The sequence below is a fragment of the Homo sapiens genome, chromosome 1 (assembly GCF_000001405.40).
Source record: "Homo sapiens chromosome 1, GRCh38.p14 Primary Assembly".
NCBI lineage: Eukaryota > Metazoa > Chordata > Mammalia > Primates > Hominidae > Homo > Homo sapiens.
The window spans coordinates 58,454,417-58,479,723 of record NC_000001.11 but is presented as its reverse complement, the minus strand read 5'-3'; the positions used below and the strand labels follow the sequence as shown (position 1 = coordinate 58,479,723).

The following is a 25,307-nucleotide window of genomic DNA, read 5'->3' as shown; positions in this document are numbered from 1 at the left end:
CTATCAAGACAAGGAACAAAGTATTCTCAGTTGTTCATTAGCTTCCCCACATATGGCTTCAATATAAGTAAAAATCTCATCATTATGAAATCAGGGACCACTTGTGTTTTCTGTAGGTTGATTTTATAGGTTCTTCTCTCAGACCCTTCTATCAAAATTGACATGAAAAGCATAGATGAGGCAGTGTAGGAGAGTAGAACCTCTCCCCCTGCCTGTGAAAGCCTGTGAAATCTCATTTGGGATGTGTCCTGACATTATTAAATCTTCTTGGACAAAATATCTAGTTGTTAAGAAGATAAGTTCAGAGGCTGTTTATGTTTCTCAGGGATTATTATACATTACTTGTAAGGAATTTCCTGATCTGCACACGAGACAACATTGGTCATGAAGAGGTTCATATTAACTATTCTCCATATAATCATTTTTTACACTCCTTGTGATTGGAGTATTGTAAAAGGCACTCCATAACATATAAAGACACTTGGAGAATGTCACCTAAAGGTAAACAGTAAAACACAGCATTAGATTTTCCTGCAGATTTCCTAGGAAAATAATGTAGCAACGGCCTACTTTTTCTTCCATTCCCATTGTCACTTCTAATTGTGTTGTTCATACTTGCTAGAAACATATATAAGTTGACACCATGTCAGAAAGAGCAGAGATAATATCTTTATAGTATATGAAAAAGATTTTTTTTAACCAGTGGAATTAAATGTAAAAGAAATGTTACAGTTCAGCTCAATGCTTTAGAAGAAATTAAATAGCAGTTGAAATACAAGATGTATATATATACTTTAAATTTTATATGGAAATAAGCTGTATGTTCTACACTTAGTTGCAGAACTACTTTGTTCCTGTCAATACTTTTCATGTGCCTATAGGATTTAGATGATAGGCTGGTTAACTTAGTTGTTAGGAGCATGATGCTAATAAATCCAAGGCACAAACTCAACCCGATCTTTTCTATAATTCAGATAGGGTGAGACTATCCTCTAAAACTAAAGGACAGTGTGTATATTTACTGCTATATACTTATAATGCTTTGCACATTATAGGCATTCAATTAACATTGACACTGTACAATAATTATCTGTTCAAAGGATTGAAAAAAAGGAGAAACAATCATACTCTGTAAAATCTGCTTCTGTAGTTGTGGAACCCTGGACAAGTCATGCAAACTCTCTAACCCTCATTTCTTAATTGTAAAATGGGGACAAAAAAAATCCTCCTAGGTTGACCAATGACCAAGTGAAATGATATACTTAAAGCATTTAACACAAAGTCTAGAGCTGCAAATGTAATAAAAATTGTTACCATATACTGAATGCATACTTTGTACTATTAGTCCATTTTCACACTGCTATAAAGACATACCCGAGACTAGGTAATTTATAAAGAAAAGGGATTTAATTGACTCACAGTTCTACATGGCTGGGGAGGCTTCAGGAATCTCACAATCATGGCGGAAGGGTAAGAGGCATGTCTCACGTGGTGGCAGGCAAGAGAGAGTGAGTAAGAGCAGGGAAAACTGCCCCATAAAACCATCAGATATGGTGAGAAGTCACTCACTATCAGGAGAACAGCATGGAGGAAACTGCCCCCATGATTCAATCACTTACCTTTCTTGTCACATGGGGATTACAATTTGAAATGAGATTTGGGTGGGGACACAGAGTCAAACCATATCATTTATGTGTGGTGCTAAGCATTTTTCAAGCACTGTTGAACCCCACAGTGACCCTATTTATGGTAGGCATTCTATTCTACTATGCCCTATTATAGATCACGGAACTGAAGTTTAGAGGGGTAATGGAAGTTACTCAAGGGTACATGGTGTATTTCTTAAGGTTTTTTTACTTGTAAGAACAGAGGAACCAACACAAACCCAACCAAGAAAATTCGTTGCCTCAAACTGACAGAAAAGCCCAGCAGTGTGCTGCTTCAGGCACAGTTTAATCCAGGGGATCATGATATTATCAGAGCAAGGGCTCTTTTTTCTTTGCAGTCTTTCTCACCTGTTCCCTGGTGATATCCAGATGGTTGCCAGTAGCTCCCAGGGTTGCATGCTTTCACATCCAGCTGGATGTGTGACTGACTCACACCACAACTATTGAAACAAAGCCTTTAACACTCTAACTGCACCCTTGAAGCAATCACCATGGCAGGGGATGGCATTATCTTGATTGGCTTGGACCTATCAGGATCCAACATTCAAGCTGATGATGGGTATGAGTCAACACCACCCAAACAGAATGGCTACTGCGTGTTAGGAGAGATGCAACCACGGGGCTTACGAAGTAAGTGGCAGAACTAGAATTAAAACCTAATGTTTATCCTTTCAGCAGGCAAATAAACAAGATGATTCCTTGACAATTTTATCTGAAATGACATTTAATCTGATAAAAAAGTAGCTTAAATTTTATATTGATATGATAGCAAATTTTCATTAGCATATTTGCTTTAGCGTTTACAAGGTTTTTTTGTTTTGTTTTGTCTTGTTTTGTACTGAATTATATCCTCAAAACCAGCCTATGAGATTGGAAGGACAAATGGCATCATTTACTCGTAGGGGAGAAAACTAAAGCTTGGAGAATTAGGCAAGTGGTCCAAGTATGCATTCAAGTAAATGGCTGAACTGGGATTGGAACTAAAGAATTCACTGATTTGTAATCCAGTGTTCTTTTGGCAATACTGCAGTCTTTGGAAAGGGAGCTGTTACCTCCACTTACCTGGAGACCGAAGCTCAAAAATATTAGTCAATGTGTGTCCAGCAGTACTCAACTCTCAATGACAGAACTGGTTCAAACCCTCCCATCTTCTGACTCCAAAGTCCGTCCTCTTCCTCCATGTACTGCCACTTACGTGAACAAATCTCATATAGGAAGTGAGGATGAAAAATGTCCATTTCCCTTCACCCTTCACTTGTGAACAGCAGGGCCAACACCTTTTCCCTGATTTAAAAGCACCCATTTTAATAGTCTATGACAGATGGTAAAAATATCCATTTTAAGCGTATGTATACATGTGAGGGATGAAATTTCTGTTAATCACCTCATAACATGTTTTTGTGAGAGCCTAGAGAATTCTTTAATCTGTAGTGAGATGAGATAAATCTCCCACTTCATTACTGGGAAGAAAACTCTGTCAGTGTTCTACCCATCTACACTTTGCCCCCTAACTTCCATCAGAAAAGTTAGGCCAGTGGCTCGCTCCCAGCCTCTGAATCACCCAGACCTCCTTTTACATTAACTGGCTCTGCGTGCAAGGGGTTTTACACCACTAAGTTCTGTCTTGAAGGGTTGGTGTGTCTAGACTCATGCCCAGGTGTTCTCACCACACTAGCTGTTTAGGAGACTGCAGAGCATGGGGCATAAGTCACAGTGCAGCTCTGTTTCCAGGTCTTAGGATGTCTCTGATATCATCAAAGACCAAGCAGGGCCTTTGATCATCACGTGATCTCTGGTGTTATCAAAGTTCCAGCCAAAAGAAAAAAAAAATTATTTTAATTAGTTTGAGTACCTAATTATGTGAGAGAAAATATAAAATTTTTAGTTAAGCTCTTTGAAATATTAAACATAGCTGACAGGTTCCTAATACCATCTTCATAGACCACAAGAGGCCCGGGACCTTGTCCTGGGCAGCATTGGTCTAAAATCAGATTTGTTTTTTTCTTCCTTCAGAATATTAAAGTTAACTTGTTAATTTTGACCAATATATTAAAGTATAATCATATTTTCATAGGTTAGAAATGGTGGATGTTCTACTTAAGGATTCTGTTATTCTATACTTAAGGTTGTATTTTTTTAAGTAACTATTGCTTTTGCACAGAAATATTGAGTTTAGTTTTTTCCAAATTATTCCTTTCTGATGTTATGGTAGCCTTGAAAGTATTAAGGGCAACATCACTAGTCTCATTTATTTATTTGGGAAAATAGGATAGTAATATTTGCCCTGCCCAATTCCCAGAATTATTATGGGTTTAAATATAGTAACGTGTATATGCTTTACTGAACATCCCAAGTGCTGCATTGTGCTGATTCTTGTTAATATATTCTAACATGTCTTCATCTGGGCTGTGAGATTATTAGTTAAGAGAGGTCACTTCCAAAAGTTTGGCTCTGATCTGCTACAGCTCAGAAGTGATGATGATGTCTTCCTACCTGAGTGTGAGAAGAAAGGAAACTTTTATTTGTGGCACGTTTTGTTTTAGTCTGATTCGTGTGTGTGTGTGTGTGTGTGTGTGTGTTTAATTAACCTAATTCAGCCAGGCACAGTGGCTCATTCCTGTAATCCCAACACTTTGGGAGGCTGAGGCAGGTAGATCACTTGAGGTCAGGAGTTTCAGACCAGCCTGGCCAACATGGTGAAACCTTGTCTCTACTAAAAATACAAAAATTAGCCAGATGTGGTTGTGGTGGCAGGTGCCTGTAATTCCAGTTACTCGGGAGGCTGAGACAGGAGTATCGCTTGAGCCCAGGAGGCAGAGGTTACAGTGAGCCGAGATCGTGCCACTGCACTCCAGCCTGAGTGACAGAGCAAGACTCAGTTTCAATACTACTACTACTAATAATTAATCTAATTCTATTAATCCATTACGGCTCTTGTCTGGAGAGTGCTCCTGATTTCCATCAATTTCTACATTCTAATGTTTAAATCTGGAGAAATAAGGCCAGTCTTTTCCTGGAATCACCAATCCATTCGCCAGATGATGGGCTGGGAAAATGGGAATTAGTATTTGTTGAGCCCTATTAAGGCAAGATTCTACAACCTTCCTCTCCTTTTAATCTTCACAGCAACCCCGTGAGGCATGTTTTATTCTCCTAATTTACAGATAAGAAAATGAGGGTTCACAGGACTGTGTAACTTTACCGAGGTCACACAGTAATCCAGGAGTTTAGCTAGGTCTGTGAGACTCAAAGGCTTTCACTGTCTTTAATATGCTTCCCTTCACACACAAGAAGTGAGAACAATTGGCAGGGCAACGAGGGAAACAATTATTTGGGATCTTTGCTTTGTTTGAATGCCTAGAGCATTTCTCCTGCTCCATAGTCCCTGAAACTTTCCATGATCTCATCGCTCAACACCAGCTCCCTTTGCAATGAGCCAATCAGCTAACTAAAAGGTATTCATGAAAAAGGCCCAGCAGCCTCAGGAACATACAGTTGACCCTTGGCAACACAGGAGTTAGGGTACTTTTTGGACCCTAACAGGTACCCAAAGTCACATGGGCCACCAGCTTTGACCTGAGCTTATCACAATGAACCAACTCCTTCTCTCAGGGGAACAATTAGGTTGGTGCAAAAGTAGTTGCTTTTTTTTTTTCATTACTTTTAAATGGCAAATTTTAAAAGGCAATTACTTTTGCACAAACCTATAGTTTAGGAAACCACTGAGGATTCAAGGTCAGAAGATCTGAGTTCACATCCTGCCTTCCTTACCAGCTGTGAGATCCAGCAAGTAACTAAGCCTCTCGAAAGCTCAGTTTATCCTCACCTGTATGTTGTGGCCATGTAAAGAGCTCTATTACTGCACCTATCCCATTGTGCTGCAAGCTGGCTATTGGCCTGAAAGCTCCTTGAGGGCAGGAGCTCTGGCATCCTCATCTTTTTCATCCACACTCCACAGGAATGCTTGATGCTTTATTGGTGATTCCTAGGCTCTGGATTGGGAATGACCCTAATAGCCACCATGAAGTAGAAGTTTGACTCGGAAATCAAAGTCCAGGCATAAAGTGATATTTACGTGCATGTGACAGCTTGTCCGGGAAGAGAAGTTTATTGAACAGCCAGAACAGATTGCAGAGTTAACGCTCAACAGCTTCATCCAGAACACAGAAATCTGTCGGAGTTGAAATGTGAAGGAAACGCAGGCTAGGAAGACACACCAGTCTTGGGAAGTGTGCTTGGCGGTGCTCAGACTTTCTCTGCAGAGCGTTCTTGGGTCAGACTGTTCTGGAGATGGGGTCATTAGGGCTTGGTAAGATCAAGTCCCTAACAATAAGAGCAGTAACAAGAGCAATAATAATGGCTAGCATTCATTATTGAGACCTCTTACAAACCAGGCTCTGAAATACATGCAGTAGCTTGCTTGACTCCCTCAACAATTCTATGAGGCAGATAAAATTGTCCCATGTTATTTATTTATTTATTTATTTATTTATTTATTTATTTATTTATTTTTTTGAGACGGAGTCTTGCTCTGTCGCCCAGGCTGGAGTGCAGTGGCACAATCTCGGCTCACTGCAAGCTCCGCTTCCCGGGTTCACGCCATTCTCCTGCCTCAGCCTCCCGAGTAGCTGGGACTACAGGCGCCCGCCACCGCGCCCGGCTAATTTTTTGTATTTTTAGTAGAGACGGGGTTTCACCTTGTTAGCCAGGATGGTCTCGATCTCCTGACCTCGTGATCCACCCGCCTCGGCCTCCCAAAGTGCTGGGATTACAGGCGTGAGCCACCGCGCCCGGCCCCCATGTTATTTATGAATGAGGAAATTGAGCCCAGAGAGTCTGAGTGACTTGACTCAGACCTCCCAGGTAAGACTTACCTTGGCCTTGCAAGCTCTTGGGTCTCAGATGAAATGCTATTTGGAAGCATTAAGCATTGGGAGGTTGGCTCTGGCTGGTTGGATGGTTTGTAAAGCATGACAATACAGTGTGGTGCGGGGAAATGTCGTTTAAATTACTTTGTTTTCCTGGGACCACTTCCTCTCTTAACAAATCTTCTATAACACCTGCCCATAGAACACCCTGAGAAGGCAGTGGGTTTATTCCTTTAGGGGCCTGGCACATGGTGAGTGGCCACTGCTGGCTGCTCCTCTTTCCCTCTCGCTTTGTGGTGTATGCTCCACCTACTTCCACACGTGATTTATAAAGGAAAATTTTGGAGCCAAAGCCTGAGAGCAGGATCTCTTCTTTCCAGGACTCCATTTATTTAAGAGATTCTTTTGTAAGGCAGAGAACTTCAAGAGACAAGTGTAAGAAGGGGTTTTCATCGGTCTTTTGTTTTCTACTCAAGATAGCTTTAAGTAATAACCAGCCATTACCCACCTTGGATTTTCTGTCCTCTACTGGTGAGGTCTCTTTCTTTGAACTATTTCAAATGTCCCAGCAGAGCTGGGGAGGCCCCCTCCCCACAGCCCCACTGACTTAAGAAGAACAGATAGAGCACCCATGGTCAAGCTCAGGGGCCACAATTTGTCACTGACTCACTTGAAGGGAACCGCTTCTCCCTCTTTTACCCACGATGTTGAAAAGAGGTTGATTCAGGCTGTTTCTAAGCAAGACTTATGAAAAGTGCTAATGACAAAAATAAAACAAAATAAAAACTATAAAGTTATATCAGGACCAAATATACCAAGGACAAGGGGAGGCCACATCTCAGATAAAATGAAATAGTGAAGACAGATGAGGAAGAACTATTTTACTCCTATTCAGGACTGAGGCTAACAGTCACACCTCCATAGGGTACATTCCCTAGAGTAACATGTGAGTAGCACTCCATGGGATTAGACAATAAGATAGCCCTACCTAGGGTGTCTTTTTCTTCCAAGGAGCATGACTATCAAGGTAGGGCATAATTGAAGGTGAACAGAAGTCCTAAGTGGGAAAAGAGATGATCAGAGGGACCCTGGTTACTTTTTATGAAAGTTTATCATTATAGTAGGCAATAGTAATAGTTAACATTTATGAAGCAGAAGGTGTTGGGAACTCTACTAAACACTTTGCATATATTATCCAATTTTGCACTCACTATAATGCTGTTGTTGCCCAGCTGTATTAGTCTGTTCTTGAATTGCTAAAATAAATACCTGAGACTAATTTCTAAAGAAAACAGATTTAATTGGCTTATGGTTCTGCAGGCTGTACAGGAAGCATGGTGGCATCAGCTTCTGGGAAGGCCTCAGGGAACTTAAAATCATGGCAGAAGTGCAAAGGGGAGCAAAGCACCTCAGATGGCAGGAGCAGGAGGGGTGGGGAGGTGCTACACACTTTTAAAACAACCAGATCTTGTGATAACTCACTCACTATCACGAGAACAGCACAGAGGGGATAGTGCTAAACCACTCATCAGAACCTGCCCCATGATCCAATCACCTCTCACTGGGCCCCACCTCCAAAAAGGGGATTGGGGATTACATACAATTCGACATGAGATTTGGATGGGGACACAGATCCAAACCATATCACCAGCCAATAGCCACTTTTCCTCTTCTTTTTCTGCAAACCTTCATTTTGTTTAGGTGGCAGTATTCCCTGCCCGAGACATCATGAATGTCTAAGTCAATTATGTAATGCTGTTCACCTAAGCCAGGGCCAGGTCTAGGAACAGGTGTGTAACTAGATCTGATGAAAAAGAAAGAGAACAAAGTCAAGTACTTTCCAAGGATAGTGAATATTTTCCTCCCTGAGAAGAGAGAGGCCACAGAAAAGTCTGTTTTGCTTGTTTGTTTTTACCTATGTCTTTTATCCCTGCCTTCCAAGTGTTGTGTCAAGATATCATGGCCCAGGAAATCCTGGGGATACCAACATAGGACCCCAGAACTCCAGTGGCACTGGGTTGCTAGGACAATGCTGGCACTGTCTGCCTCAAAACTTTTTGTGAAGTGAGATATTAAATGTCTTTATTATTTATGCCACCATTAATTGGGTATTCTCTTACTTGCACCTAAAAGTATTCCTACTGATAAAATAGTATTGGTTCCATTTTATAATTGAGAAAACCAGGACTTAAAAAAATTAAATCCCTTCCCCTCTGTCACACAGCTTGTAAGTGGGAAGGCCTAATAAGCTTTTGCTGCTACGATTCTGCCTGGATCCAAGTCTACAGTCCAGGGGAATTACATTCCAGGGGCAGTAGGTTCGCTCAATCAAATAAGAAGAGCTCTTGACACTGGGCAGCCGAGTAGGGAGCTCTCAGTCATAGGAGATGCTCAAGCAAAGATAAGACAGCTATTCATGAAGGTCGCTGGAAGGAGAGCCAGGCTTTAAGTAGACAGGAGTCAGGAAGACGGACTGCGTGCGAGATGCAAATATATCATAAACGTGTTCTGGAATAGAACCGCATGGGCCCAAACAATAGGCAAAAAAGAAACTGCAGTCTTCGCTAACCAGGTTTCCAGTTTGGTGATGAGACAGTGCTTCAGACATCTGTGCTCCAGGAATGGGTTTGACAGTGCTGCTCCTGGACCATTGAGGGTGATGGCATGGTGAAGGATAAGGATCAGGCCTGGATCTGCATGAAAAGTCCCAGCTCTGGCTAGGTGCGGTGGCTCATGCCTATAATTTCAGCACTTTGGGAGGCCAAGGCAGGCGGATCACTTGAGGTTAGGAGTTCAAGACCAGCCTGGGAAACATGGCAAAACCCCATCTCTACTAAAACTGCAAAAATTAGCTGGGTGCGGTGCTGCACACCTGTAATCCCACCTGCTTGGGAGGCTGAGGCACAAGAATCTCTTGAACCTGTGAGGCAGAGGTTGCAGTGAGCCGAGACTGCACCACTGCACTCCAACCTGGGTGACAGAATGAGACTCCATCTCAAAAATAAATAAATAAATAAAATTAAAAATAAAAATAAATAAATAAATAAATAAATAAATAAATAAATAAATAAAGAGAAAGTCCCAGCTTTGCTGTTTTGTAGCTGCCAACCTCAAATTCCCTCTTTGTCAAATGGGAAGAATGGCCTCAGTGTACTTCCTGGGGCTGCTGTGAAGAGTAAATGAGATGATTGTACACTTCTACAAACGTTTATTGAAGGCCTACTATATGCCTAGCCTTCTCTCAAGTCCTGATGTCTGTGGAAGCTGAAAGAATTTCACAAATTTAAAATATTAAGTATTATTATTTATTTTTAAAAATTCTCTAAGTCCTCCCTTCCTCCTACCTCACCAAGGAACTCCATCCATCTATTTTGAAATAAATTGAGCTCTTACCCAGGAAAATAGAAGAAATGGCTCCGGCAGAGAGAGTTTCCAGCAAGACAAATCCCCAATGGCTTCTCCCTGCCACCGCTCAATAATGGTGTTTGCTATAAATCAGAGAGCTTCTTTATCAAGTGCCTTGTAAGCGCTTGGGACTGATTTAGCCCTAGAGTGAGATTAATCACAAATTGCTGCTTTAGAAAGAGTGATGGGTGTGAATTAGAAGGTTCAGTGGAGATCATTCTGATTCACCCTGATTGCTATAGATAGCTGGAGTTTACAGAACTAAGGCCCTAAGTTTTTTAACATTACTCAGTTTGAGAAAAATTACTACATCTAAGAAAAGATTTCTTTTCCCCTAATAATGTCATAGTGGGATAGGGAAGGAACTAATGTTTTTTTTTTTAAAGCACCTACTGTTGGTGCCAGACTCTATGCTTACATCATGTTTTTTAATCCCTATAACAACTGCATGAGATAGGTCTGGTTATCCTCATTTTTCAGATAACAAAAGTGAGACCTACATCAGTGAAAGACTTATACAATGTTATGCAATGCCCAAATGGCTGAGATGAGAATAAAATGCAGGTCTGTGTGATTCCAAAGCCTTACCATGGAGCCTCTTGGATCACTGATGGCAGATTCCTGGCAGCAGAGCTCAACATAGATACCAAAAATAAATGAAAGTGGTTTGCTGTGACTGCTGGCCAGCAATGATGCTTGAGACAGTCCCTTAGGACCCAGCTTTAATGACCCTGTCCTGTGATAACCTTCTCTAACATCTCACTTTTCTTTTCATAAGACGGAGGATGAATAAATGAAAGAAGGTCAGCCAGGCGGAATGTTTCTGCTTCATCTCTGCTCATATACAGTGTAGCGGCCATGGAGGGGTACCACTCAGATCACTCTTCAAGTGAGTCCTCTGTGGCATGCATGACTGACAAATGCTCCAGCTGTCACACCTTCAGGCCCATGGTAACTGAATATAGCAGGGGCACTAGAGCTGGGCCGTTCCTGCTGCACATGAGATGGTGTCATGGATGACTATTGCATGAGGACTCCCTGTTGACCTGGCCAAAACTTTCTTAGAACTGCACTGTAGTCACAGCTCTTCCTACTTCCTCCTCCTTCTTTCCCACTCTCCTTTCTCGCACTTCAGACTCACATCATGGTCTGAAGGCTCTCTCTGCCTCCTCCTGATCCTCTCCTTTGTCATGCACCAGAGCTTCTCCAATACATCTCATGCACAGCTAATCCCATCTTGGTGTCTACTTCCTGAAGAATGCTAATGCAAAGACACAGTGACTCTGTTTTTCAGCCCACATGTCTCTCACCTGGGAAACAGATCAATTCTATGATATCATCATGCAATGGAATACTATAGGGCAGTCAAAATGAACGAATTAGAGATATAGGCATCAACATACATACATCTCAAAAAGATAATGTTGAGCAAAAACAAAAATGTTGCAGAGTGATACATACAGTATGTAACATTTATACAAAGTTTTAAAACTTGTGAAACAATGTCATATATAATTTGTAGATGAGTACATATGTGACAAAAGCATAAAAACACACTAAGGGCTGGGTGCGGTGGCTCGCGCCTGTAATCCCAGCACTTTGGGAGGCCAAGGTGGGTGGATCATGAGGTCAAGAGATTGAGACCATCCTGGCCAACATGGTGAAATCCCGTCTCTACTAAAAATACAAAAATCAGCTGAATGTGGTGGCACATGCCTGCAGTACCAGCTACTTGGGAGGCTAAGGCAGAAGAATCACTTGAACCCCGGAGGCAGAGGTTGCAGTGAGCTGAGATCGCGCCATTGCACTCCACCCTGAGCACAGAGAGAGACTCCATCTCAAAACAAACAAACAAACAAACAAAAAAACCAAAAACACACTAATGAAAGATAAACCCAAATTCAGGAGAGAGGTTACCACTGGGGAGAAAAAGAAAAATGCAAACAGGTTTTGTATTTTACGCTGCGTGGTTGGTACACAGTTGTTCATTATACCTACGCTTTTTATATGCCTGAAGTATTTCATAATAAAAAATTAAAACATATTAAATCATGCCCAACAAATTGTTTCTAGTGAAAAATAATAAAATAATTTGAAATTGGCTATGTTTTGGGAAATTTTGGATATATGTTGTCACATGCCAGCAGTTGAGTCTTAATCTATTGTGGCTTTTACTGCACCGAGTAGCAATTATTTATTTTTATGTTTGTTTCTATTCTCTTTCTCTCCCCAACCCTCACTGGACCACAAGCTCTAAGAAAGAAGACTCTCATCTACTCATTTCTTAATCCCCAGTGGCTATGACAGTAGCATGGGAGCAATATATGTTTATTATGTTTTTAATAATCAGGAGAAGAGAAAACGGGGACTGGGGAGAGAGATGGCAGGTAGTGCAGACGGCAAAGCCTAAGTAATTATTTTTTCAATATAATCAAAAAAGCAGACGTTCTGCTTTTGTTTGAGCGCTGCTACATATGGGCAATAGGTCTGCAGTGGGGCAGCTGGGGTCCAGGCCACAGGGCCTGATGTGTTTGAGTTCCTGTTACAGTGACAGCCACTTTGTTACATGTTTCAGGCAAAGAGTTTGGCGTTATCCTCACAACTTGGGGAGTTCGGCATTATCACTGCTTTTCACAGATAAGGAAACTAAGGCTCAGTGAATTTGAGAATGGCCAGAGCCACCCACCTGCTCATTAGCAAGGTCAGGTTCATATCAGACTCTCTGGTCCCACTTGTCCCCTGGGAGGCACTACATCCAGGCACTGTATCTGCATCACACAAGGCAAGCCGCAGATCTGCTGTGAGGCCACTCACTCATGTATTCACATATTCATTCATTCAACAACACCTGCATTCCAGGCACTACTGCACCAGGCACTAGGATACAGTGATGAATGGCTCAGACTGACACCCACCACAAGGAGTCCCCCAACTAGTGGGGGCTTAGATGCACAAACACAGCTCCCCCTGCACAGACCAGTTATGGGACAGGCGCTGTTCAACCGGGCTGTGGTGGTAAAAGGAGGCAAAACATCACCCGTGTAGAATGTCAAGGCTTCCTGCAAGAATGACCTCCAGATGAGACCAGGTGAGGGTAGGTGGAGGGAAGACAGGAGGGTGTTTGGCAGGGAAGGAGGATTGTCCCTTTCAAGAAACGGCAGCCTCTCTGAGGCCTGAAGATGAATGAGCAGAGTGTCAGGGCTTCCCGTGACAGCTGCTTGTGCATTCTTCCCGAGTATCCCATTCATCTGCCTTCCAGGCTCCAAGTCCTTGGCTTCAGGGACCTCCCTTGGGCCCCCACATTGCTTCCACACAGACCTACCCACCCCATCTGTGTTAGTTCAGGCCCTCCGAGAAAGCAGAAACCGAGACAGGATTAAACATGCAAGAAATCTGTTAGGGGAAATGCCTGTGGGAAAAAATGTAGAGGCCAGGGGAGGCTGGAAAAGCCACAAGTCCATGATGCAGACCTGACTCCCGGTGAAGGAGCAAGGGAGGGGAGGGAGGGATGGGGGAAGTGTTTTAGACAATCCTACGGAAACTTTGGCAAGGCTGTCTGGGAGTCCTGGAGCCAAGGTTGCCCACGAGAGGAGTCCCACGTCTCCAGGAAGGGCCCTTCCTCATTATCCCTGCCCCGCTCCTCCATTGGCTGGGGGTGGCCAGGGGCAGTCAGGACACAGCGTTTGTGCTAGATTTTGGAAAGCAGTTGTGGGGACCGCTGGGCAGTCATGCTCCCTGAAGCTGGGTATCTGAGAGGAATATTCTCCATGGCCACCACACTCCCCTAGATTTGGTAACCCTGCACATCTGGCTTCTGCTTCAGCCCCTGTCCCTGGGATCTGCCAAGGGAAGCAGTCCTGAGAAAAGGTGGCATCGGGTAGTGGTGAGGGACACAGCTTCACAGCAGCCCCCATTTCTGCCATTGACCATGGGTACTGCAGGCAAGGCACTGAACCCCCCAGTTTCCTCGTGGGTAAGTGTGGATAATGACGGTTCCTGTCTCCTAAGGTTGTGACAGAAGTACATGAATTAAAACACATGGTAAGTGCCCAATAAATGGTATCTATTATTATTTTAATGGATCCATTTTTGATTTAGGGGCCATTTCAATGCATTGGTTTGATGGGGCTGCATCAAAATGTAAAAGCTGTGCACTCCCACCGCTGCTGTGTGCCAAATATACCTACACCTCACTGTGTCCTAAATCCTTCACCATCTTTCCACGAAGCTGCTCCTTACCCTGAGGCTTGGTTTGGGGTCCTCCTCTGAGCCTGTAGCCTCCTTTTCCCACAGAACTTTTTACAGTGATTGGTTGCACATTTTGTCGTCGTTGTTGTTGTCATTTCTTGCAATAAACTGAGAATTCCTGCGGGGGTGAGGACGATGTCCTGTTTCCTGCCACATCATCAGTGCCTACATGTTGGCTGACCCCTGCCCTAGCCAGGCTCAAACCCAGGGTCAGCCACTCTCTAGGGTCATGCAGGGCGTTTGCCTGAGAGGAGAGGGGGACTGCAGTCCACCTTGTGGCTTGGTGGCCAGTGGTGTGCTCAGGGGCTGTACCTGCCTGAATGAGGCAGTGTTCTAGTTTGCATTCACACAACATTGCTTACAGCTTGTCATGCGAGTCTCTGATGGACTGCACCTGTCCAGAGGAGAGTACTTTTCTTATTTGATAAAGATACTGTATTGGTTAACAGCAACTCAGCCAATAACCCAGGCTGAGAATGTGTGCAGAAGCACCAGCACAGTGCCTCACACTGTGTCAGCTACTCCTGCAAACTTCTGGAAAGGCTTTGATGAGCTCTTCTGAGTCTGTTTCTGCCTTAGCAACATGATGGGTTAGGTTCATGTTTCTAAGGTCCTCTCCTGCCCCGATATTCAGTGATTAGAGGAAGCCTGGTGTTTGGATACTGCTGAGGTGTGAGGGCAAGGGCTGCCTGATATGGAGTTTAGAATGGTCGCATCCTCTCCTGGGCTAGGGTTAGCCTTGCCCATCACCCTGTTCAGTTCTCGTCTCCTCCTCCAAGAAGCCTGCCTGAGCAAGCCCACATCCATCGTATTTGCTTTGTACTTTATATTTTATTAGGTGCCTTTGATATATTACTTCCTTTAATTCTCACAGCAACCTAGTGCTATATCTTTGTGTTATATTGATGCTATATCCGATAGATGAGGGAAAAGGAACTCAGAGAAGTTAAATAACATTCACAAGGCCACACAGCTAGTACAAGGCCAAGTTCAGGCTTAAACACAAGTCTAGGCAGTAGAATTCCTACCCATCTTATTTATGCTGCTTTATAATTTTTCTCTGCTTGCATATTTCTCTGTTTCTGGCCCCATTTAGAATATAAAAACCTCAAGGACAGGGGACACGATCCCACTTCATTCCATCCTCTCCCAAACATATCATGCACACAGTTAGTGCTGTCTAAATGCTGTCTGAGTAACAGTGGAAATCCTTGACATGCCCTGGGCATATGTCAAGCCCTGGGAAGGACCTGTACAAATACAGACCTCAGTGTATGCATGACAATACACACATTGATGTCTTCCATGCATACACATGGTATAGCTGGTATGATACCTTTAACGGAACATCTCTAATTAAACAACAAAAATGCTATTCTGCCTGTGCCTGCTTGGCAGTTGTGGATTGGTGGCCAGAGCACTTTGCTTCCACATTTCTGCAGTGTGCCGTTCCCTGCTCTTCAACTGTCCTCCTTACAGCCCAGGCTCTGCACCTCCTGTCGTTCAGTATCTGGTCTTCCTTGACCCCTCTGGCTGGATGCAAGATCCATTTGCTTGGAGCTGTGAGCTCAGCTTCTCTCATGCAAACCTTCCTATCTCTTCCTAGCTTTGGGGCATTCACCCACAATCTTGGAGACCCAGCTCCACAGATGGTCCCAGTGGACAACCCCACAGTCTGTCTCAGATTCTCAAACTCTACTGAAACACATGACAAGGACATGTACAGAATTCATATATCTGTGATGCCATGGACTCACACAGGTGGGTCCACATGGCCATCCACATCTGTAAATGTCCACCAGGCCAAGTGCAGAGACATTGAGGCACATTTTTGCCCATGGAGGCAGAAGCAGCATCCACATGCAAACCCATTTATGCATGCAGGATGTGCCCAGGCCGTAGATACATGTACACACAGACTCTCAAGCATGCATATGACCTTATGCATATGAGACTCAGTATGTGGGTGCTCATACCCCTTAGGATGTGGATACCAGTGTATGCAAACACCATATGCCTTGAACATGAAGATTTACACACTGCCATGCAAGGGCCAGGAAGGCAGCCTTAGCCTCCTTCTCCCCAGGGTGCCACACACAAAACAGATTTCATCACAGATCATGGCCTTTCAAAGACACAGGTTCACACCTTCTCCTTGGAGCCAGCTCTTCCCTTGTCAAGTTGTCTGGCCCTAGGAAGGTGACAGAGCTTATGTCTAGGAGTCCCCAGGCACTCATACGACGACCTGTCACCTCCACACTCAGCTACTCCTCTCACCAGGAGCTCTCTGCTCTCAGTGGGGAAGGCACTAAGGCTCAACGTAATTAAATCTCTCTCTTTTCACTTCAGCAACATTGATCTGTGCAGGGACACACTCTTGACTCCAAAGGAACAAAGCTTTTAATTTCTTGGCTGGAATACACTGTTCTTAGACTTGTTTCGTATGTGAGACATAGGAGTGAAAATTGCAGCATACTTTCTCATCTTCAGAGTATGACATTGCTTATGAAGCACTTTTTCACCATTTCATTTGAGTCTTACAATCATCCTATGAGATAAATAGTACATAAACTACCCCCATTTTACAGACAAGGAAGCTGAGGTTATAACAATAAGAACGACAGTTGTCCCTGAATTCCTACTATGTGTCAGGCACTGTTTTAAGTTCTGTACATGTTTCAGTTCTTTCAATCCGTACAATAACACTCAGAGGTATGTCTGTCTTCATCCCTATTTTACAGAGGAGGAAACTGAAGCACATAAGGTCAAATGAACAGCCTGAGGTTACCTGCTTAATAAGAAGTCTGGCTAAGTTGTATGCTATTGAAGTTAAAGGGATTTAATGCGGGATATTTGTCTTCTGGGTGAAAATCTAAAGCAATGGCTCCCCATATTCTGACCACCGATGACCACATATCTGATTTTCTTACATCATTAACTCCACCCTTGAAAGATTTCATCCAATAAAAACACTGTACTCATTAAAAAATCACCTGTATTGTGCCATTTTAATGAGACTTGAAGTTTTGAGAACAGCTTGGGGATACCCTGAACCGCTAAAAATTGCTACTGGTTGAGATGCCTTGGGATTGAGGGTATCCAGACTAACACCTAGAATACAGAAAAGAATTTAGTTAAGAAACCTTCTTTGGGAGGCCGAGGCGGGTGGATCATGAGGTCAGGAGATCGAGACCATCCTGGCTAACAAGGTGAAACCCCGTCTCTACTAAAAATACAAAAAATTAGCCGGGCGCGGTGGCGGGCGCCTGTAGTCCCAGCTGCTCGGGAGGCTGAGGCAGGAGAATGGCGTGAACCCGGGAAGCGGAGCTTGCAGTGAGCCGAGACTGCGCCACTGCAGTCCGCAGTCCGGCCTGGGCGACAGAGCGAGACTCCGTCTCAAAAAAAAAAAAAAAAAAAAAAAAGAAACCTTCTCAGATCGACGTGGATCTCAATCTTGTCTCTGCCAATTACCCCCCTGAGTCCTTGGGTAAGTAACATCACCCCTGTCAGCCTCAGTTTGTTTGCCTGCAGTGTCAGATGGAATAGCACCCAGACTGTAGCATACAAGGGAGAGCAGCATGATTGTGGATGCCCCACAATTCCTTGGTGTGAGGAGAGAAATATTTGTAATTGTCAGAAACATGATATAGCTGGCAGAAGTATATGAAATCAGTTACATAAATTGTGAACTACATCTCAAAGTTCTATTAGTTCTGAGACAGGGTGAAAATCAGCGCATTTCTCATCAGGATAGAAAATAAAAACAGAAAAAATCAGGAGCCATTGGGAATAATTCAGCCTCAGAGAGAGTTCAGTGCCTTCATCGGTAGTCTTTGGGGTGCTCGTAGAACCACCATTGTTCATCTCCACACTTGCTGGCTCCATATCCTTTGATGTGTATGTACCTTTCTGACCCTTTTTTAGCTGCTTAGTAGGTTAGCTGGGGTTGACTGTGGTTTTGTCCTTGGTTAATGTGATTATGTGAAAACAGCTTTGGACAGATTTTTCTCTTGCTTTCTCTTGGGCCATCCCTGAGTAGCACTGGCCCGCCAAAGCCTTCATCTCTTCTGTGTCTCCATCTTTGCTTTTTCCCTTCTAGCTACCCCTGCCTTTTCCTTACTTTTAATTGCTCCAAAAGAATGAGAGCAAGTTTCAATCACATTAAAAGAAAGAACTAGACTCTAAGACAGTAGTCTTCACTCTTTTTTGATCATATTCCTCTACTGGCAATAAAAATTTTGAGCTTCTAGTACCAATGTATATATATTTCTATATTAACACAGTACACAGTTAACTTCTGTACTAATATTTTATTTCTAAAACATACATAAGTGGACATTTTTAAGATGGAGGTTTTTAAAAGCATGAGATAAAAATAAATAGTAATTTAAAATAATTTACTAATGGAAGAAAAATGCTTGCTTACACTGATGACTCTTTTAAGTACCCAGCCCACTGGGATAACCAGTGAAACTCTATCTGGTACAGAAGGCTTTCATAATCTTTTCTCAGCTCTAGTATTTTAAATAATATAATCTGTAACTCTACTTGACTGGGCACAAGTCATCCCTAATCAACCATAAAATGTTGAAAGCCAAACATGGAGTGAGAGTGTCATGGGTGGCTCCTCTGCACCATGGGGCACTTACACTTTCTCCAGGATCTCTGACAAACAGTAGGTGACAAATACTGAGCATTCATTTTCATCTGTAAATTGCATCTTAGTAAACCTTCATAGATTTTAAATTTAAATATCTAAATTGAAAGGCCAATATGTTTTTTCCCCTTAGCTCCCATGAATCATTATACACACTGTCTGGGTGGAGCCCAGTCAGAGAGCAATGAGATTCAGGACTACGGACAGCTACACACATGCGTGGGAAGGGACCCTCTTTCCAATAGTCTGCCTGTGACACCTATCTGATAAGACAGTTATGAGAAATAAATAAAATGACATAGTAAGTGTTCAGTAACTATTCATTTCTTCCTTCTCCTTCTCACTATTCAACCTGATGCCAAGTGAAGGAAGGGAGACAGGAATTCAGGACAGATGTTCTGGCCAGAAATAAAAAACAATGCAATTTTGGAAATGTTTCTCCGTAGAAGTGTTTCTGGTCCCCACCTCTCCAAACACAACACCCCAATTAGAAGAAAGGTTGTATGGGTACTGAGTGTCATATCCTATTGAAATACAGATAATGCACCCTCCTTCCCTGCCCAGTCCCACGTGTGTGCATCTCTACCACAGATATGTCCTACTGGTGCCATTTTCCTCATCTGATAGGATCAGGCATCTTAATACCCTCTGGGTCTGACCCAGAGCTCCTGGATAGTAAAATGGTATATATATATGCCTAGACTTTGTGCTTCAACTCTTGTGGAGTCATCCATGCTCTCTGCTCAAAGGGAGCTCTGGGCACTTAGCCCAGTTCATGTTTATGGTGGTTTCAACATATGTCCACAAATTCTTCAGTACTCTTCCTTTCAAGATGTGGAGTATAAATCCTCTCTTAGTCCAGGTTGGACTGGACTTTGTGATTTTCTTCTTTTTCTTTTTTTGAGACAGAGTCACACTCTGCCACCCAGCTGGAGTGCAGTGGCATGATCTCAGCTCACTGCTACCTCTGGATCCTGCATTCAAGTGATCCTCATGCCGCAGTCTCCTGAGTAGCTGGGATTACAGGCATGCACCATCAAGCCAGGCTAATTTTTGTATTTTTAGTAGAGATGGGGTTTTGCCATGTTGGCCAGGCTGGTTTTGAACCCTTGGCCTCAAGTGATCCATCCACCTTGGCTTCCCAAAGTGCTGGGATTATAGGTGTGAGCCACCATACCCGGCCCTGTGACTTGTTTCTAATAAATAGAATAAAGTATTAATGATAGTATGTTATTTGTGAAATTACATTATAAAAAGACTGGATGCTCCTTCTCTCTCTGCACTCTTATTTTTGTTCCCTCTCTTTTTCTTTCTTTCTCCTTTGGGCCTCTTGCCCTTGGAAAGGCCAGTTGCCATTCTTAAGAGTACTTGGAGAGCCTTGTGTAGACGCCCATGTGGTAAAGATCCAGGATGATTACCAACAGCCCAAGAGAAACCAAGGCCTCCTGCCAACAGCCTGATCACTAAATTCTCTTGCAAGTTGATTATCCTGCCCCAGTCAAGCTTTCAGATTACACAGCCCAAGCCAACAGTTATTTTGCAACCTTGCAAGAGATCCTGAGCCAGGGCTACCCAGCTAAGCTGTTCCCCAATTTCTGAACCTCGGAAACAGTGAGATAATTCATGTTTATTGTTTTAAGATCCTAGGTTTTGGTGATTTTGTAACATTGCAGTAGATAACGCAATGCTCAAAATCCTGAGCCCACTCTCTGTGTTCTTTGGCGGTTTTAATTTTTGTCTTCTTAACTTTTCCAAAGAAATGATTTCTGGGCTAATCCTGTTCTGGTCCTAAGCTGCTATTGTTCATTCTCCTATCTTACACTCAGCTTTCTTATCCAAAACAACAGCTACCATGCATTAAGGACTTTCTCCATTCCAGGCATCATGCACACATATATTATCTCACCACTCATCTCTACCTTAATATCAAGTGACCATATGAATATCCTTATATAATGAGGAAACTGAGGCTCAGAGAGGTTAAAAAAACCTGAGCCACATTAATATTTAGACTTTGGTAAGTAGACTGCAAACCGTTTTTTTTTTTTGTTTGTTTGTTTGTTTGAGACAGAATCTTTGTCTGTCACCCAGGCTGGAGTACAGTGGCACAATCTCAGCTCAATCTCAGTTCACTGCAACCTCCACCTCCTGGGTTCAAGCGATTCTCCTGACTTAGCCTCTCAAGTAGCTGGGATAACAGGCATGCACCACCATGCCCAGCTAATTTTTGTAGTTTTAGTACAGAAGGGGTCTTGCCATGTTGGCCAGGCTGGTCTCGAACTCCTAAGCACAAGTGATCCACCCGCCTTGGCCTCCCAAAATGCTGGGATTACAGGCATGAGCCACTGTACCCAGCCTGCAAAACATATTCTTTTAACCACTTTGCTACCTGTAGCTTTGATACTGGTACCTTTTAGTTACTTACAGATTTTGGAGTAGAACAAACCTGGATTCAAATCCTGGCTCCAAATTGACCAGCTGATCACTGTTTCCACCTCTCTAAAATGGGGAAACAACACCTATCTCCAAAGGATCTTTGAGGGGTAGAGGCAAGAATATATAGAAAGTGTCTGCCTGTCTCACTAGACCAGTGCTGTCTGGTAGAACTTTCTGTGACAATGGGACTGTTCTGTCGGTCTGATATGGCAGCCACTAGCCACATGTGGCTATTGAGCATTTGAAATGTGGCTAGTATAAATGAGAAACTGAATTTTTAATTATATGTAATTTAAACCAATTTGAATTTAAGAAGCCACCTGAATCTTGTGACCACTGTGTTGGGCAGCACTAGACTCTGTGCTCCGGGAAGACAGGGGACATGCCTGTTTGGATCAAATGGCATATTCAGCACTTAGTACAGTGCCTGACATAAATGAGTTACTTGTAACTAATTGTTGAATGAATTAATGTATGAATGAGTGAGTGGTCCATCATGGGCTTTCAATAAATAGCATCTATCAGCCAGGCAGAGCGTTGATGTGTAGCGGACCATTCTTGCCTTTTCTCCCCACCTTTCCCCGTCAACAACAGCCAATTATGTTCTCCTGAAGAAATGTCATGTGAGCACCAGGAATTGGACAGAGACTAGATTTCAGGTGACTGGGGGGACAGAGGGAAATAAAAGAAGACTCCTACATCTTTAATGGGCCACAGAGGACAGGAAGCCCTCACCCCCACTCCAAGACTGACTAGGAAGTTTGTCTGTAACAGAGACGGTTTAATTAATGATGAGACTCCATGACAGGGAGGCCAGAGCAGCCCTAAATGTCACCTTCGTTATTTTTCAAGCCAACACAACGAACTGCCTTCCGTGTTGGCTTCCATGTTGTTATTGCTCTGCCTCGGGGTTAAGGGATTTTTTTCCCTAATCTGTACAACATGAGCTGTGTAAGTTCAGCAAGGGCAGGAGGTGAGATGGCACAGGCCGCTTAATAAGGGGTTTGGCTGTCACTGAGCTGGAGCTATTGTGTAGACATGAGGAGGTGGCCAGCTGGGACTCTTTTTCTCACTACCTCCCCGAAATACCGTGCCTGTCTTTCCAGCCTTGGGAGGGAGGGAGCACTGTCTGACTCTCGGGTGGTTTTCCTCGCTACTTCTTGGATCAATATTCTAGACTAAAACAGAATGCAGCCTGGCTGGGAAGAATGAATTCTGGGCTGAGGGCCAGGAGAGGCAGGTTGGAGTCTGGACTCTGACATGACTGGTATGAGTGACCTCTGACAGTTCACTTCCAATCCTGAGACCTCGATTTTCTACTGTGCAAAATGAGAGGAGATGGAACAGGGCAAACTTTAAGACTCCTTTAAGTTATAAGCTTGCATACTGGCAGAAAGGATGGATTTTGCGGGCACATAGACTAAAGTTTAAACCCTGGCTCTGCTCCTTCTGAGCGGTTTCTTAGTCTTTCTGAGATAATAATAATAGAACCTTACAGGGATGCTGTAAGAATTAAATGAGATAATGAATTCCGGGGGTCTCAACCCTGCATGCATATTAAAATCACCTGGAATGTTTTTAAAAAATACCAATGCCCATAGCTTCACCTCCAGAGATACTGACTTGTCTATAGTAAGGTCTGAGTGCTAGGATTTTAACAGCAAGCTCCTTAGGTATTTCTGAGCCATACTTAAGGCTTAATTGGAGGTGGTGGAGCTTATATGTAGCTGGAGCTTCATAAGTATTTGGTGACTCAATGGATATTTTCGAGATTTGTGTCATCATCTTTCTGCAAACCTTGCTTTCTGGCCCTAAGTTACACATGCCAAAAACCAGCCACAGGCTTGGCAAATACAAATCCCCGCTGATCCTTTCTTCCTTCTGCCGTCCTCACTCAGCCTTCCCTAGTCCTCACACTCCTCCATTGCCACATCCCTCCTGTCCATGCCTCCATTCCACTCCCACCCCTGCCTGCTCTGCTTCGGACCATAGTTAATGCATTTCTGAGTTCTTTCCTTACAAAGAACCTACTTCATCACCTTCCCACTTCTAGTATTCAACTCACACCCTCCCCCCAGACAAATCGGTAAAACATAGTGATTATGAATGTAGACTCTGTAGCCAGACAATCCAGGTTCTAATCCCAGCTGAGCTGTGTGATCTGGGATGATTTTCTTGACCTCTCTGTGCTTCAGTTCTCTCCTATGTGTATGGGGATCCCCCAAGATCCCAGTCTTTGAAATCAGTTGCTCTCCCTCATTTGACCTTCCCTTACAGTGTTACCCTGAATTTAGGGAAGAAAAGAAAATTGAGAGATTCCAAGTATTGAGCGTAGTACTGAATGCTTTCCATACTTTATGTAATTTCATCTCCACAAAACTAAGTGAGGTAGATGCCCGTTTTATAGATGACGCAAGTGAGGCAGAGACAAGTGATGTCGTCTGCCCACTGTCATACACTGAGTGGAGGTAGAGCCAGGGCCCTGCTCTGGGCTGACTCGGAGCCCCTGCTATGGGTGTGCCCCTGACTGATGAAGAGCTATCCCTTTGGGGACATTTTTCTGATCTGATTGACCTCACAGCTCTGCGAGAGATGCTTATAGAGGGAGAGGAAGGAAAGAAGGAGACACCACTCACTTGTTCAACCACAGAATCAGAATCAACCGTCCAATTTGTGACAGATATCCAATTAGAGGATATATTTGTGTCTTTTTGTTTTTTAAAGGAAAGGCAATTGGGAGGGAATAGTAGACTGAAGTAACCAGCCTAAGATTCTCCAGCAAAATTGTGAATAATTAAATAGAATAACATTCATTCTTTTGTGTATCCCTTTGTAGTGATAGAAAAGAAAAACAGTCAATTCCCAAAGACCTCTGAAGTTCATTGAGCATAATTCAGTAGGTGTTTACTAAACTGCACCGCCTCACCCCTCTCTCCGCCTCCTGATCACTTCATTTCCAATTCTGCCAAGTTCCAATGGCCAGTGCCTGCATGTCTCTGCTGAGGACCATCTCTGACTGCTGCAGCGCATTGCGCCTGTCCGCGGGGTGGGCCTGCAATCCTAGGGTATTAAGGCCACGTAGAAGCACCCCTCCCTGATGACTGACAGGTGTTGGTGAGTAACCACCCTAGCTCCCTCGCCCTGTGGAAGGGCAACTCTACAGTGTGCATCCTGCACTCCCAGGGCTTTCCCAGTGGGCATAAGCTCCATTTGCTCACAAGTCATAGCTGGATTTTAAATGCATCAGCCCCTGGCTGCCTTTCCTTCCCCCTCCCACACTCCTGATCCCCTGCAGGTGTTTCCTGGGATCCTCTCCCAGTTGAACTACTTGCTCTCACTCAGAGCGGCTGCTGGAAGAACTCAAATATAGACACTTCCTCAGAACTGTGCAAGGTGATAGGGAAACAGATGGAAAAGACATTCTCTTTAAAGAGCTCATGAGCTGGAGAGAAAATGTGCAAATGCAGTTTCGGATGGTACACGTCACCACTGAGTGACCTGAAGGCAGCACGAGGGCAGGTCAGGCTAGATCTGCTCTTGGGGTGGTAGGATAAGCGAGGGATTTCAGTTTTACAGAAAAAATAAATATTCAAAGGTAGGAAGAGGGTGTGACCACGTATTTTCTTTCCTGAGAAAGGAGAAAAGCGCTTTACTGTCACAAACTGAGTGTGGAGAATTGTTTTGTCTGTGAACAGGCGGAACTGATGAAATCTCAGAAAGGCCTAGAGCAGAGGGGACAAGGCAGCCGCCTCTCAATCAAGCCCTGGGTGAGGAGGGAGGGTCCCCAGGTGGTGGGGAGCAGGAGGAGGCTGATGCTACTTAGAAAGCAAGGAGGTGTGGCCCTCGGACGTGGGTTCCTTTCCTTGCCTCCTTGAGTGCCCTTCACAGACACGCCCCTGCACCCGCCCCTAGCCTGCCCTGACATCCGTCGACAAAGCTTTTCTGTGTTGCTGTGGCCGTCTCTTGCTCAAGGTGAACTCTGAGTTTGGGTCGACTCCTGCAAGCGTCTGGCTCTAGGAGGCCTCC

General features: G+C 43.7%; 1 protein-coding gene across 1 annotated transcript in view; it reads left to right on the top strand.

Moving 5' to 3' along the window:
• Positions 1–25,307, top strand: part of DAB1 (DAB adaptor protein 1) — a 1,551,949-nt gene that overhangs the window by 67,003 nt on the left and 1,459,639 nt on the right. The window lies entirely within an intron of this gene.